The sequence below is a fragment of the Homo sapiens genome, chromosome 22, assembly GCF_000001405.40.
Source record: "Homo sapiens chromosome 22, GRCh38.p14 Primary Assembly".
NCBI lineage: Eukaryota > Metazoa > Chordata > Mammalia > Primates > Hominidae > Homo > Homo sapiens.
The window spans coordinates 48,362,720-48,378,450 of record NC_000022.11 but is presented as its reverse complement, the minus strand read 5'-3'; the positions used below and the strand labels follow the sequence as shown (position 1 = coordinate 48,378,450).

At 48.3% G+C, this 15,731-nt stretch overlaps 3 annotated features.

The window, feature by feature from the left end:
• Positions 832–1,336: an enhancer, noted in NCBI's record as "H3K4me1 hESC enhancer chr22:48772927-48773431 (GRCh37/hg19 assembly coordinates)". NCBI's record gives its function as "activates a minimal SCP1, AML or CMV promoter by ChIP-STARR-seq in naive H9 embryonic stem cells {active_cell/tissue: H9 hESC(naive)}" and the evidence as "EXISTENCE:reporter gene assay evidence [ECO:0000049][PMID:30033119]".
• Positions 1,337–1,843: an enhancer, noted in NCBI's record as "H3K4me1 hESC enhancer chr22:48772420-48772926 (GRCh37/hg19 assembly coordinates)". NCBI's record gives its function as "activates a minimal SCP1, AML or CMV promoter by ChIP-STARR-seq in naive H9 embryonic stem cells {active_cell/tissue: H9 hESC(naive)}" and the evidence as "EXISTENCE:reporter gene assay evidence [ECO:0000049][PMID:30033119]".
• Positions 8,053–8,648: an enhancer, noted in NCBI's record as "OCT4-NANOG-H3K27ac-H3K4me1 hESC enhancer chr22:48765615-48766210 (GRCh37/hg19 assembly coordinates)". NCBI's record gives its function as "activates a minimal SCP1, AML or CMV promoter by ChIP-STARR-seq in naive H9 embryonic stem cells {active_cell/tissue: H9 hESC(naive)}" and the evidence as "EXISTENCE:reporter gene assay evidence [ECO:0000049][PMID:30033119]".

Genomic DNA, 15,731 nt, shown 5'->3' with positions numbered 1-15,731 from the left:
CGTTGTGCCAGCCCCTGATTGACTTTTCATTATCTGTAACATGAGCAATCACCCCACTTAGCAGATAAGGAAACTGAAGCACGAGATGGTGAAGTAACTTGCCCAAGGTCACACGCCGCTTGCCCAAGGTCACACACCTGGTCAGGAGCAGAGCCAGGGTGCAAACCCAGGACGGCTGGCTCTAGAGTTTGTTCTTTGGCCAATTCTGGGGTGAACGGTGTATTTCCACCTTTATCAAGGGTCTGATTTCCTCCCACATGTAAGGAGGTGGAATTTCTGAAGCAGAGTAGGTGCACATTAACAGGCTGCTCTGAAAGCTTTCCAACATTCAGAAAAGCAGAGCAAACTGCTCCGGTACAGGGTGGGTTTCTGTCGTCTGAACATCCAAACTCCAGAATGCTCCAGAATTCAAAACGCTTTGAGTGCCAGCATGATGCCACAAGAAGAATTTCACCTCATGTGATGGGTCGCAGTCAAAGGCTGTCAAAACTTGGTTTAATGCACAAAATTGTTAAAAATATTACATGAAATTACCTTCAGGCTATGTGAGTAAGGTGTATATGAAACATAAATGAGTTTTGTGTTTAGACCTGGATCCCATCCCAAAGATATCTCATTATGTATATGCAAATATTCCAAAATCCAAAAAAAAAAAGAACGGAAAAATAGAACTCTGAAACCCTTCTGGTCCCAAGCACTTCAGAAAAGGGATACTTGACCTGTATTTCCCATCACCAGATTCAAGGACTGTCAGCCACATTCTGTGGAGCCTGAGAGCCAGTGTCCTTCAGGTCCCCGGCTGCTGGGGGCTGCATGGTCAAGGGCCATGTTCCTGCTCTGAAGTTCATCCCTGCATTCACACCAAAGACAGGTTCCCCACAGTCTGCGTCAGCTGATAACTGAGTGCAATAGGCATACTAAGGCAGTTGGTCCCGGGAGGACCCCCCATGGCCTCCCCAACTGTCCTCACTGAGGTCCAACATGCCCCACTCAATCCAACACCAGGGCATCCCCTTTGTTTTAGACACTGTGTTGTTGCAGAAACCTGGACATTTGTCCTGTAGGGTTTTCCACAGGCTGCACTTGTCTATTAGCTATTTTCGAGTGTCATTTAATGTGTTCCTCTATCCTGAATATTTTCTGTGAGCTGGAAGATGGCTCCAAAACACTCATCAGATCCAAGTTCCCATTTTCTTTTGACAAAACACGTCCTTGGTGGTGCCGTGTGCTTGCTAAGGCGTCACTGACTGGGGGTGGCTGCCCTCAGCCTGACTCCCACATGGGGAAGTTCAGCATTACCAATGTGTCCAGGGATGGCCATCAGCAAAACCTGAGAGCACTGTCACCCCATGTCCTGGGTGGCTTGTCTGTGGCCACATGGTGCACCTGCCCTCCCCAGAGGAGACAGGGGCCACTCAGGCTGGCAATGCTGGCACAGTCCTTATCTGTGCGTCAAGCTGTAGGAACTTTCATGATTGCCTTTCCTGCCAGTAAACATTATATTTAATTTTCCCTTAATATTTGATACGTATAATTCTATAACATACAATTAGACAGCATCATAATGCAAGGATGCCCCTGTAAAAAATAAAGCAGAGGTTCCTCTTCAAAGACATCCCCCCCCCCGGTTTAATTAGGAATAAATAGTAACTTCTCTTAGGAACAAAATTTATTCAAAGATCTGTGCTAACATTCTTAAATATCTTCTCGCCATAATGAAGAAATCAATGTACTTTATGTTCTTAGCTCCCACAAACACCCGTGAGTCCCTCCTGGAGCCAGAACATCACAGCCTCTGGTCCAGCCGCGCTGCAGCCCAGGAATCCCGTGAGAGGTTCCCTCCTCCCCTTTGCTGACAAGAGGCTCACACGGCTTTGTAATTTGCATTTCTTTGAGTGCTAATGAGGATGAACATTTTTGCGTGCTTATATTTTTCTTTTGATATTTGCTTATTGGCATTTTTAAACCATTTTTCTCCAAGTGGAGGGACTTTATCCTTTTTTCTTCTGAGTTTTAGGAACATATCTTAATAAAACATAAATTGTCAAATTCATCCATATTTTCTCCTTGTGACTTCTGCCTTTTGGTCTTTGCCTAGTAAACTGTTTTTCCATCCTGAGGTTATTTAAAATGATATCTTTTTGAGCTTCCAATATTTTATGTTTTGTACAAACTGTACATTTTAAATCTGTCTGGAATTCATTTTGCTGTAGAGATAGGTAACTAACATCATTTTATAAATACTTCTTTAGTGGTCTCAATACAGTTTAGAGGATAATTCATTTGTTACCAACAGATAACAAAATACCATTTTTATCATACGACAAATTCTTCCAGATGATTCTTGGGCCTATTTCTAGACTATTCTATGATTCCATCGATCTCTTTCAATCTCTCTCTCTCTCTAAGTAGCATACTATTTTATTAATGTAAAACTATTTGATAAGACAACGTTTCTTGGTTATCTATCATTTTATTTTTTAAGAAAAAAATTTCAAATCAAACATCCATTTTGTAAAGTTCTACTGAGATTTTCATTGGAATTCTAATTTTTTATCAATTCACTTCGTGAGGTTTGACATCTTTAAAAAGCTGAGCTCTCCCCTCTGGGAACATGATATTTCTTTCCATTTATTCAAATCTTTCTTCATTTCTCTTCTTTGGTATCTGTCCTGAATATATCTTGTTAGTTGCTGACTGCATATTTTATTTCTTTTGTTGCTGTTATGCATGGAGATTTGTGCGGCTAGTCCTTTTTGGTGTATAAGACAGTTACTTATTTGGGATAGTGATGTTGTTCTGAATTATATTATTACTCCTAGTAATGATATCCTGTGTTTTAAAGTAGACCATCCTAACTTTTGCAGACAATCATGTTGTTTTCCCTTTTCAGGTATATCAGAACTTCAGATTTTAAAATTTATTTGGACAGGGCCTCAAGGCAGTTCTGTCTTATTTCACTCTCCCCACCCCCTCTAGCCCTTTCCAGGAGCTAAAACCAAGGCTAGCGCTGGAGGGAGGGACCAGTGGCCGCTCTAAGCATGAGACCTGCTGCTGCCAGGTTTGGAGCAAAAGGCCAGGAAGGAGGTCCCACTGGGCTGGGATGCAACTACAGTCCTGGTTCTGGCCAAGTGGAAGCCAAAATAGCTTCATTTCAGAGTCAGGTTTTCCCACTTTGAAATGGCTAAATTCCACTATGTAGCAATGTATTTAATAAATTAGCTATTTTGATGTGGCTTTTATAGGTGCTTACGATACCAAGAGGAACAATTCACCTGTTCATTCATGCATTCTTTCAGTAGCTATCTACTCTGCATCTGGCGTAGTCCTAGGCTCTGGGAATTTATCAGTAGAGAAAATAAGCAAAAATCCATAAGGTATGTGCCATATGAATACAATGCTGGGATAGGGAAATATAATATTGAAAGAACAAAAAATCAAAGCACAGGGAAAGTGAAGTTCAGGCAGCAAAGCCTGGAGTCCTGCATGGTTACTAAGATGGAGCTGCATTTGGCCAGGCGCGGTGGCTCACGCCTGTAATCCCAGCACTTTGGGAGGCTTAGGCGGGCGGATCACGAAGTCAGGAGATCAAGACCATCCTAGCTAACACAGTGAAACCCTGTCTCTACTAAAAATTAAAAAAAAAAAAATTAGCCGGGCATGGTAGTGGGTGCCTGTAGTTCCAGCTACTCAGGAGGCTGAGGCAGGAGAATGGCGTGAACCTGGGAGGTGGAGCTTGCAGTGAGTCGAGATGGCGCCACTGCACTCCAGCCTGGGTGACAGAGCAAGACTCTGTCTCAAAAAAAAAAAAAAAAAGATGGAGCTGCCTCTGGGGCTGTGCTGGCCTCCCTGGTCACCAAACAAAAGAGGAAACAAGATGAACACATGGTATGCTTTTCCCAGAGGCAAAACACAGACCTGGTTCTCATGTTCTCTTTCTGTTTGTGGCCTTGCTGATTCCCAGAAGGAACTTGATCTATGAGAGAAACAGAGATGCAAGTTTATTTGGGACAGACTCTGTGGGTGCCTGAATGCCATGGTAAAGATCTGGAATGAATGCAGTGAGCACTGGGCAATGGTGTGGAGAAAATAGCCCAGAGCTAGGGGCCAGATTTGTTATCTATTTTTTGAATACTAAGTGACTTTCATCAAGTCATGTTGCCTTTTTGAGCCATGGTGTTTCTATAAAAATTGAACAAGATTCTCTCTCCTAAAGTTTGCTTTATTTAATGAATTATTACATTTGAAAGTACTTCTTACATTGTGAAGTGTTAGAAAAGTGACGATGATAGCAGTGATATCACTTTGATCATTGAAGTGGGGAAGGGGATTGGAAGGAGGAAGCCTGGAAGAAGGAGATCAGGTGGGGGATCACAAATGCCCACCCGGGGGGCCCAGCAGGGGATGCTGGGAAGCGTGGAGGCAGCCTCCTCAGCATCATGTGCGTGACCCACTCCTGACTCCCACCAGAGCCCCAGGAACAAGGCAGAGAAGAGGGGAGGCAGGAGAGGAGACCTGGCGGATCCACGGGTGGCGTGCCTGTTACCTACCTCGATGTCACAAGCCAATGCAAATATACTGGGATGAAACAAGCACCACTGTCTATTATTAGTGTCTGGATTTTGCAGGTCTGCACTTTACATCATGGCCTCCGCTTCCTGATGTTGGGACCTCTGCTGGTAGGATGTGATGGGTGGAGGGGGTGCTGGGGGCCAAGAAGTCCAGAGCCAGTTGTGACTGCGGACCAGAGCACTTCCAGGTCCCCTTCCTGTGGCCTGGGCTCTTCCCAGCCCCGTGGCTGGGTTCCCAGAAGGAGCTGTCCGAGAGAGAGCATTTGGTGAGCAGGTGCATGCCCTGGTGTCCTGGCCTCAAGAGTTACACCCAAGACAACATCCCTCAGCTCATAAATAAATAAGTAAATAAATAAATAAAATGTACTGCAATGTGGCTTGTGGTGTCCTGAGTCTGTGGGCCCTCAGAGGCTGCTTGGCCCCTCTCTGAACCCAAAGCTCCCCTTGGCCTTGGCATTGGATTCTTCCAGAAGTTGAGCTGCTCTAGAGCAGACAGGACTGCATCAGAAGAATCCCGTTTTCTGCTCCCAAAGTCTGCCCTCCTTCTTGCTGTCTTCCCCTGCTTGGGACATCCAGGCCTGGACGCCCCTTCCTCTCACCTTGGAAGCCCCTCAAGAGCACCTCAGTAGGGAGCACTGCCTTTGAGGAGTGAGAGCTCCTCTTACACCTTGCTTTCTGGATGCCAGCCATGTTTAAATAGAGAGATGCTTTTGTTCAGTGGGACTGACACATACAATGACAACTTCATAGTTACATCAATTCTGATAAGTACTTTTAAAGCATTTGGCACTAAAGTGTATTATTTCAAAACAATTGAAATTAATGTGTAGAAATAAAAAACAGTATGCATATCCAGAATCTGACACTTCTGTTCTTCCTGGGGGAAGCAGTTCGTGGCGAGGTCCCTTTCCTTCCAATTACAGATGCGGCCTGGTTCTCAGACTCCTTGTCAGTAGGAGAAATGTTTCCATCTCCAAGGGTGGGCTGTGCCTCTCCCGTCACACCACAGAGCCCATGGGACACGCAGGCCAGGAGCGGTGAACACCGGGTCTATGGAGCGTCCTGGATCTGTGGTACTTCCCGGGGGCTTGGGCCCCTTCTTCTCTGAGTCTGTTGGATTCCGGCCTTATTTTCCTTCCTTCCAGATTTGTCTCCATTTGGTATTCCATGCAGTCAGTGCCCTCCAAGGCTGGAAGGCCAGTGGAAGTCTTCCTGTAGGATCTAATAGGTACATAGAGGGCCAAAGCCACAGTGGGCGGAGGCCTTTCCAGTTAAGTGGCAAGAGAGCCAAGCTGCCCCACTACATCCTCAAGGCAGAGTGCTGTGCTGCTGCCACTGACTTTATGCTAAACGCTGGAATGCGGAGGCCTTCACAAGGGACCCCCAGTCTTTTACCAGCTCCTCTTTCGAGTGTGTGCTTTGGAGAGCTGCTCTTCACCAACACCACTTGGCTTCTGGGACCCGGGAGGCTGATCCCGCTGTTCTGGGACTTCAGGATGGCCAACGGCAGCCTGGATGGGTGCAAAACAGAGGGGCCAGGTGGGAGGCCTCTCCTGCATCGAAAGCCCTCCAAATATAATGAGCCAAGGGTTGCATCAGTGAAACATAACGCTGGCATCTTAGGTGAGACCCTCCCTTGTAGGCCCTGTAGAACCCCAAATCCTACATTTGTTAGTAAATGGCCATATTTTGGAGAATTTCTAGATGAGCTAAAGAGCGTCTTGTCTCTTAATCCGTTTCTTCAGGCGGAGGCGCCGGGGACCTGGAAAACATATTTAACCAAATGGATTTTTGTTTCCTATCAGAGCAGTTCAAACTCAGCCCTGCTGCAGGCCCAGAACTTCCTATTTATATCACAAATAGCCCTGCTTCCAGCCTTGGAAAAAAACTTAAAGATGGACTCTCTTCTCTTGTGGAAACAAATGATTAGCAGTGATTTGTTCCCGGATGTGGGCGTAGTGGTCAGGAAGCATTTAGGATGATACCTAAGGATCCTCCAACAACGCATAGAAAAGCCTTGATCTGGGTCCACCCTCAGACTCTCCAGAAAGAGGAGTGGGGTCCCTGTGTGGCCAGGTGGGCTTGAGGACCAGGGTCCTGCAGGGGAAATAACAGTGGCTGATGGAAAAAGAGGCGGCAGCCAGTCAGAATTTTGTGAACTTGCTGTCTTTGCTCCCAGCTTTTCCAAAGAAAGCTGAGTTTAGATCCCAAGTGCATTGTGCATGCCCAGGCAGGGACGCCTTCAAGCCTGGGCCGCAGCTGCCCTGCAGTTTGATGTTCAGTCTGATCTCAGTGCCCTTCATCAGGAGCTAACAGCCTGGTGCTCGGCGGTGGCCCACACATGCTGGCTGAAGGAATGAATGAGCAGATGAATGAGTGAGTGAGAGGTTACGACATGTGAGATGGGGCCTGGGCAAAAGAAGAAGCGTCTGTGCAGGTAAAATGAGACTGAGTCTGGGGAGAGATACAGGAAAGGTAAGTTGGATAGTAGAAAAATGTGTGAGCCTTGCCAATTAACAAAAGAAAAGAAAAAAGTATACCCAATATCCAATATCTTCCCATATCTGATATTGCTCAGTGTAGCTAAAAGGGGGGACGTTCCATGGAGGAGATGGAACCCCAGGCTCTTGCTCAGGCTCTAAGACCCGACACCCCGTGTAGCTTGTGTTGTTCTAGTGTGGACACCCAGCCCCTGGGAGCCCAGGTAGAGGCTTGGGCAGACTGGAGGCTGGCTCTGGAAGGACTGGGTGTGACATCTGGGGAAGATACTGAATCTTGCTGCAAGTCAGTTTCTGCATTCCTAAGGCAGGAGTTTTCTTTCTCATCCCTGCCTGAGGATGAAGTGACTGGCAGATGCTCAGTACAGGTCATGGTACCCCGACGTGGGACCATCACTCAGTGAACCGCAACTCACCCTGGGCAAGACCGACATGCACGCAAAAGGCTACATTGCAGATATTTATTACAGTTTTCCCTGTTCCAGGAAATCTAAGACTGGCTTTGGAAGTTCTGGGATGTAGCAGAAATTCCAGGGTTTTGTAATCTGATCTCTGACACCTTCTGGGCTGAGCTGCATGACCCTGGACAAGTTCCTCATTCAGCTGCTCTGAAGGCCAGGGCTGTTTTGCTTTTCCTTTTGGAAAATGGGGGTCCTGAAGCCCACTTGCTGAGAAGCTGGAAAGACTGGAGATCACACAGGCAGGGCCTCCGTATAGGAAGCCTGCAGTGGGGGCAGCTATTGTCATTGCTACTCTTGTCATTCATCTGTCACTCACGGAGGGGGAGGAAGATGACAACAGAAACGAGGTGAACTTCGCTCAGCAGGTGCCCCACAGGGACCTCCCTGCCAAGTTCCCTGCAAGGAGGGAACGTCCTCTGGATTTGGAGGCTCTTCCAGGAGGAGGCCTTGAGTGGGTCCTGGAGGGATTCCAGGCTGTGCGGAGGTGGAGGCTCCGTGGGTGGGGCTGGAGCTCGAGCCTCCCGGGGCCAGATAGTGTGGCTCAAATGTTTACCAAACCAATTATTCCTTCGGGCTGCTTTTGACGCACTTCTGCATTGGCATCTATGAGCCTGGGCAGTCTGTGAGCCGCTGTAGACCAAACTCCAGCACCACCCACCATGGCCTTAAGTACAATGTAAACGATCAGCAAAGTTTGCAGAGGCTCCAGGGCAACAGCTCTGGGGAGGATGGGTGTGTCTCAGGGACTGTCCATAGTCAGCGTTCCTATGGAGAGGGAGAGTAAACACACAGGGCCCCAGAGTCCCTAGAAAGAGATAACCTTTTCTGCACACGAATGGCAATCAATTGGCTAATCCTCAATGAATGCCAAACTCTCTGCATTCAAAATCAATTCCACAGTTACCAACGTGCAGGCATGATCTCAGCCACGTGGCCTGAACAACCTGGTGCCCTTCCCACCCGAGCACCTAAGCTAGCAAAGAAAGCAAGCCCACCCTGAGGCTTCCACCCTCCACCTTCCCAAGAGGCAGAGGGAGACCGGCCGCGAGGCTCACCTGGGGCCTTGAATTCTAAGTCCCTGGAGGCACCAGGAACCCCCTGGTGCAGACGGAAGCCCCAGCCAGGGGCTGGGGAGATTTTCATTTAAATGGAGATTTTGACTTTCTGCTCTTGTCTAGCTTGGAATACTAATTAGAGCAAGTGCTTGGATAATTTAGAATGCGGCACATTTGCAGATTTGACATTTTCTTTCTCTCTCTCCTTTTTTTTGGGGGTTGGGAGCATTTTTTTCCCCTTTTGTAATGTTGAAAGTCTAAAGTGAAACTCAAATCTGCCCCTTTCCAAAATCTAACATCACATGACTCCAGGAGAAGGGATGATAGAGGAAGAGACCTCCACCAGTCTCCCCAGTTGTATCCCAAGCCCATGTTCCCAGATTCTGTAGATCCTACAAGACGTCCCACATGGAGCCAAGGACAGCCGCAGGCAGCGTTGTCTGAGAAGCTCCCAACACATCTGGGGTGGGGCAAGTCCAGCTGGCTGAGGGTGTCATGCACCAACTACGCAGGGTACGTCGGAAATGGCAGAGGAAATGGCCTTTTATTAAAAACAAACAAACAAAAAAAAACAACAAAAAAAAACATTTAAAGAGAAAGACCCTAACTGACGCCACATGCCAGGACGGACATGTCCCAGTGCTCAGGGACCCTCTGTCCTGACTCTAGTCCTGTGCGGGAGGGAGGTGCTCCCCGCCTGACTCCTGCCATTGCTGACTTCCTCGTCTTAGGCCTGGCTAAATGCTCACCTGTGTGTGGTGCATTGTTGATGAGTGTTAGGCCTTGAACTCTTTAATGGATTTGGAAGGTACCTTTGCATGTGGTGTGAGTCAGGATCTAACTGAATCTTACTGTGAAGGCCCATGTTCCCAATCCCTTTTGTGGAATAATCCACCCCTCCCTTGTTGTCTTTCATCCCTTTTTCTTTTTTTTTCTTTTCTTTTCTTTCTTTTTTTTTTTTTTTTGAGATGGAGTTTTGCTCTTGTCGCTCAGGCTGGAGTGCAGTGGCTCGATCTTGGCTCACTGCAACCTTCATCTCCCCGGTTCAAGTGATTCTCCCGCCTCAGCCTCCTGAGTAGCTGGGATTACAGGTACCCACCACCACACCCAGCTAATTTTTGTATTTTTAGTAGAGACGGGGTTTCACCATGTTGGCCAGGATGGTCTTGAACTCCTGACCTAGATTGTCTGCCCTCCTTGGCCTCCCAAAGTGCTGGAATTACAGGCGTGAGCCACTGCGCCTGGCCGTTTTATAATTTCAATCCCTTGCTGAGCAAAGGACCTCTTAGGGATATCGGTCCTGTTCCAGGAATGTTTTCCTGTCCTGGCATTAGTAGCTTTATTTCTATAGTTTTGGGATACGGTTTGGTATCTGGTAGGACAGATTCCCCTTATTATCCTTCACTTACATATTAAAATATTATTATATGCTTTTCTACCCCCAGATAAACTTAGGGATGATTTTTACCACATTTTAAGAACAATCTTCATGAAAATCTTGATTGGAATTAAATTAAATAGCAAATTAATTTAGCAAAAACAATATTCAATATTTTCTTTTTATTCAGCAAAAAGTACTGTGCTCCATTTATTCAAATTATCTTTTATTCCTTTCAATGAAGATTTATTCTTTCTTTCAGTTAAGAACCATATGTTTCTTATTAGTGTATGTTTCTCATTGCTTTTTTGAATATTTCGTTTTTTCTGGCCTTGATCTAACTTCATTAGAATGCTCGCTGTGGCGAGGGACAAAACAAGCCCCAGACAGAGCTGACCAATAGAAGCGGCATGGCCCGTGCCGCTGAAAAGGCCGGAGGCGGCCGTGTCCTTCCTGGTGTGCTCAGCTCTCTAGCTGGGCTCTGCTCTCCCTTGAAGGTCAGCTCTGACCCCCACCTGGCTCCCCTACAGCTGGAGCCTGGCCCAAGGGACCTCTGCACAGCATCTTCCAGGGGAAGGCACTCTCCCACTCCTACCCCAGGCCTGAGCACTCGTGCTCCTGAGGATGGAATGACACTCCGTGGCCCCTGTGATGGGATTAGCGCCTTTGGCCAAATTGATCAGAACTCCTCGGGGATACGGGGCTGGGGCTGGCCCCTTGGTGGCACATGGTGGCTTCACAGTGGAGAAGGTGCTCCCCAAGGGGAACCTGTGTGCTCTTAGGACGGGAGGGCGATGCTGGATTTGGGAAGGGCCCCACAAAAGTCCAAGGTGTTTAATAGAATTAGGGATTTTAGGTGGAAGACAGGGGGAGCTGGGGAGATGGAAAACTCAAGCCCCAGTGGGCTGGATGGTATTTGGAGGTGGGGCCTTTGGGAGATGATTAGGTCATAAGAACAGGGCCCTCATGAATGGGATTAGTGCCCTAATAAAATAGACCCCAGAGGCTGGACAAGGTGGCTCACACCTGTAATCCCAGCACTTTGGGAGGCCAAGGAGGGTGGATCACTTGAGGTCAGGAGTTTGAGACCAGCCCGGCCAACATGGCAAAACCCCATCTCCACTAAAAATACAAAAAATTACCTGGGTGTGGTGGCACATGTCTGTAGTCCCAGCTACTCAAGGGGCTGAGGCAGGAGAATCACTTGAACCCAGGAGGCAGAGGTTGCAGTGAGGTGAGATCGTGTCACTGCACTCCAGCCTGGGTGACAGATTGAGACTCCAAATCAAAAAAAAAAAAAAAATAGACCTCAGAGAGACCCTCCTCCTTCCTCCATGTGAGGACAGTGAGAAGGTACCAGCTGTGAACCAGGAAGCCCTTCCCTGGGTGCCGAATCTGCTGAGGCCTGGATCTTGAGCTTCCAGCCTTCAGAACCCTGAGAAGTCCATGTCTGTTGTTCCTGAGCTGCCCAGTGCCCTGTCCTAGCAGCAGGGTTGGACTCAGGCACCCAAGGAAGGCTGCTGCTGGGCCCACAGATGCTGGGGTCAGCGGGGTCCTGGGAGAAAGGAAATCTGGATCTAAAATGGGGAGAGCAAGAGCAGACCTGATGGGACCTGAGTCTCCCTCCCCCGGCCTCAACCTGGACGGTGCAGTGGCCACCTTGGCCATGGAGCTGCACAGGGGGAGCCGCTGCAGGCTGAGAAGGAGCAGCTGCCGCCGGCCCCTGCAGTGAGTCTGCAGGGCTGGCCAAGGCTTTACAGGGACTGTCAGAGCCTGGCTGCTGCTAACTCGAGGCCAGGGAGCTCCTGGAGCCCAGAAGATGCCCTGAAAACCGTGGCACTGGCTCCAGTCCTCAGAGGCTTAGGCTCCAAAGCCAACTGTGCCCTGTACTGCCCGCAAGGTCATAGACAGACCCGGGGAATGAGGCATAAATCAAAACCGCAACCCCTGCATTCAAAATAAAGGTCATCATTTTCCTGGGAACCAGGATGGCCCAGGATGGGTGCCCAGCTTTCCATACAAGCTGTAGGAATTGCATTGCAATGGCAAGGAAGCTGGGTTTTGTTCATGTATTCAATTAATCCAACAAAAATGCACAGAGGCCTTCCTCTGTGATGGCCAACACAGTGTTTCAGAGAGAGAAGGCCCATGCTGGGGCTCTGTGCCACGGGGTAGAAAGGCTACATCCCCAACAAGATAAAGAGCTGCCTAGGTCCTGCGTGTGAGGAACCAGGGGAAGAGCATGGGTGTGGCTTCTGCCAGACTGAGGGACCCCCAAGGCCATGCTCCGGGGCGCTGCCGAACCGCACCCACAGTGAGCAACAGATCCAGGCAGGAGAAGATCTGGGCAGAGAGCTTCCCAGGCCTTGGAGACTGAGTCTGCATGAACCTTCTCTCATTCCCAACCTACGCGGGAGTTGATCATCATTGGAAGGTTCCAGGCCTTGGAGACTGAGTCTGCATGAACCTTCTCTCATTCCCAACCTACGTGGGAGTTGATCATCATTGGAAGGTTGCTTAGGAGTCTGGGGATCATACCTGTGGGCTTGACAGATGCAATGATGATCTTGGGAGGGGCATATGTCTTGCCCGTCCCCCAAATAATAATGGCCGACGCACCACAGCACTTCCAGTGCGCTGAGCCTGTTCTAAACCTTTCACATGTCATAACTCAGCTAATCCTCACAGTAATGCTCAGGGGTAGAGAGTATCTCTACTTCCATTTCACAGATGAAAAAACAGGCCAAGAGAGGCCAAGCAATGCACCCAAGGTCCCAGCTGGGGAGCAAAGGGGCTGCAGTCTCACTCCCAGGCACTCTGGCCAGGTTTTCAATCCCCACTAACACCGTGCCTGCCCTGCTGCCTCCTGGACACTGTCCAGCAGACCCATGCCCACGGGGACTGGCCTTGCCCAGGGCTGGAGGCTGGGACTTCACCACTCACAATGTCCCCTCCTCTGCGGACAACGCCCAACCCTCCCACACAACTCTGATGTGGTCCTCTCCTTCATTACCTCTACCCTTCCTTCCTTCCCTCCTTCCTTTCCTTCCTTCCCTCCTTCCTTCCCTCCCTCCCTCCCTCCCTCCTTCCTTCCTTCCCTCCTTCCTTCCCTCCCTCCCTCCCTCCCTCCCTCCCTCCCTCCTTCCCTTCCTTTCTTCCTTCCTTCCTTCCTTCTTTCCTTCCTCCCTCTTTTCCTCCCTTTCCTCCCTCCTTCTCTTTCTTTCTTTTCTTCTTTTTTTTTCCTCATGAAAAGACAAAGAATTGGTCCCTCTAGGTACAGTGCAGCCCCTATACCCCATCTCTTGATCCACAGGCTGTGTGTATATCTGTGTGTATATCCGTTTGCTCCTATTATAAATCCAGGTTTCAGTGAGAGAATGTGTTCTGCGCAATTTTGCTTTTGAAAATTTGTGGAGATTTGTGTAGCATAGATGCAGATAGAGTGTAATGTTTATGAATTACTGAAAATGATAAAGACTTTCTCTCTTTCTGGTATTATTTTATTTAGTAATTGAATTATTTCAATTGTTTTAAGCTTTGTCACTGTTCTTATTTCTATACCCATAAGATTGTGAGGTATCCAAAAATCGTTTATTAAGCATCCAATGTGTTTCTTTCGTTTTCTTCATATATTTCCAGGCGTTTTGGACTTGTATTTTCATGTTACCTTGGTCAGCGCACGTGGGATTCTACTTTATCTTCATTGTAGAATTAAGATATTAACAACATACATTGGCATTTTATTCCATTTAATTCCATTTATATTGAAATACACAATGTTAGAAATTAACATTGTCAAGTCTGTTTTTAGTTTGCTTTTGTCCAATAGCTCTTGGGTGATACTTTAATTTTAACATTCCAACATTGTTTAGTGTTGTTTGTTTGTGCAATGACTTTGAACACACACTACCTGGAGTCAGCCACACTCCATTGGGTAAGGGGACTGTCCTCCTCAAGGAGACATCGCCTCAGACCCCAGCTGCAAATTCAGGGTCCCCAGGTCACTGTCACTTCTGACCAGCTGGCTACAAAGTCGGGGGTCCCCAGGAACTTCTTCAGTTTCAATAAATCACTAAAACAATTCACAAAACTCAGGAAAGTGCTATAGTTATAATGACTGTTTTATTATAGCATAAAGAGACAAATAATAGCCAGCTACAGAGAGAGCTACCTACAACAAGGCCTGGGAGCTTCCGTCAGCCCCAGGGACCGGTTGCCCTCCCGGCACATAGGTGTGTGACCATTCACAGGGAACTGCCCATCAGGATGTTCACCAGAGCTTCCGTGTCTAGAGTTTTCATTGGGGTTCCATTCCACGGGCATGACTGACTGAATCAACAGCCCGGAAGTGGAACTCAACCTCCAGCCCCATCCCCTTCCTGGAGGTGAAAGACCAGCTGATATGCCATGGCTCAAAGCAGTTCCCCCCTCCACACCTGTCCTATTGCATGGGTGCTCTTTCTGGTAGGACCAGCCCCATCAGGTGCCATCTCCTGAGCACAGGTTTTCTAGGGGGTCTCCCTTAGTCACTTTCTTGGCATGGACTCAGCTGTTGTCCAAGGACACACTATGAGTAACAAAGACACTTCTATCAATTAAGAAATATTAAGAATGTAGAGGTTACCTCGCAGGAATGGGTGAGAGGTGTGGTGGACAGAGACTGGCCAGATTCATTATTACACAATGCATCAACAAGTAGCTTCTTTCACTTTATCCTGAGCCGAGATGTTTTGGTCTGTCTTTTATTAGAAATGTTGAATTTTCTCATATCCAGTGCTGTGAGGGAATGGTCCGTTTTCACTCAGCACTCTCTCGTACTTCCCTCAGCTGGGACATGTGTGGCCCTGCTCATCTCACTGACCCTGCACTGGGGAGGCAAATCCCCTTCTCGGACCTACAGTGATTCCAGAGCCTTCTCTTCTGCCCTGCCCTTGGAACTGGAGTTGGAGGCTATACTCTTCTTATTTTGTTGATATTCTGGGATTTTCCACCCTGAGTGTTCATGACAACTTCAGTCTGTGATGGGGGGGTAGGGTGGAGAAGACTGTGAGTTCCAGCTCTGTCACTAACCTGCCCTGTGTGTGAGCAATTACACATGCGTGTGTGTGGTGTGTGTGAATGTGAGTGTGCATACATGAGCCAGGGCAAAGTGTGTCATCTCTCAAAGCCTCTGGTTCCTTACTTTGCATTAGGACGATATCCTGGCCACCCATCAGTGGACGCCCACATGGCGCTGGCCTTCCATGTGGTATCTGGTCCCCTCCTGCTCTCTGCAGAGTTGGCCTCTGCGTGTTCATTTCACAGATAGGGACAGCGGCTCACAGAGGCTAGGGAGCCTGTTCAGGTGACATAAGGAGGGGACCTGGCTGCACTCTGACCAGCGGTGGCCTAGGGTGGCTCCTATCAGCCTCTAGGATGCAGCCTCCCTTGCTAAACACAAAGCCACATTCGCAAACTGTCCACCGAGCTCTATGAAGTTTAAGCTCAAAGAACCCCAGGAAAAGGGGCTAATGAAGAGCCTACTCCTGCCTTCCCTGGGGTGATCAGGTTTCACTTCGTTCAAGGGAAGCCCCCTTTCCCACCGCCTCTCCCCAGAACACAGCGCTCTGAGTACCAGGTACTGTTTCAACGTTTGCCTCTGATCCTTCCCGTGTTCTCAGTACAGCTGAGCTGCACTGGAATTTTCCAAAGGAACGTTGCTCAGATCTGAGGGAAAATTAGAAAGGAAAACCACAGCAGCACAAATGGCCCATAAATAGACCTGCTCC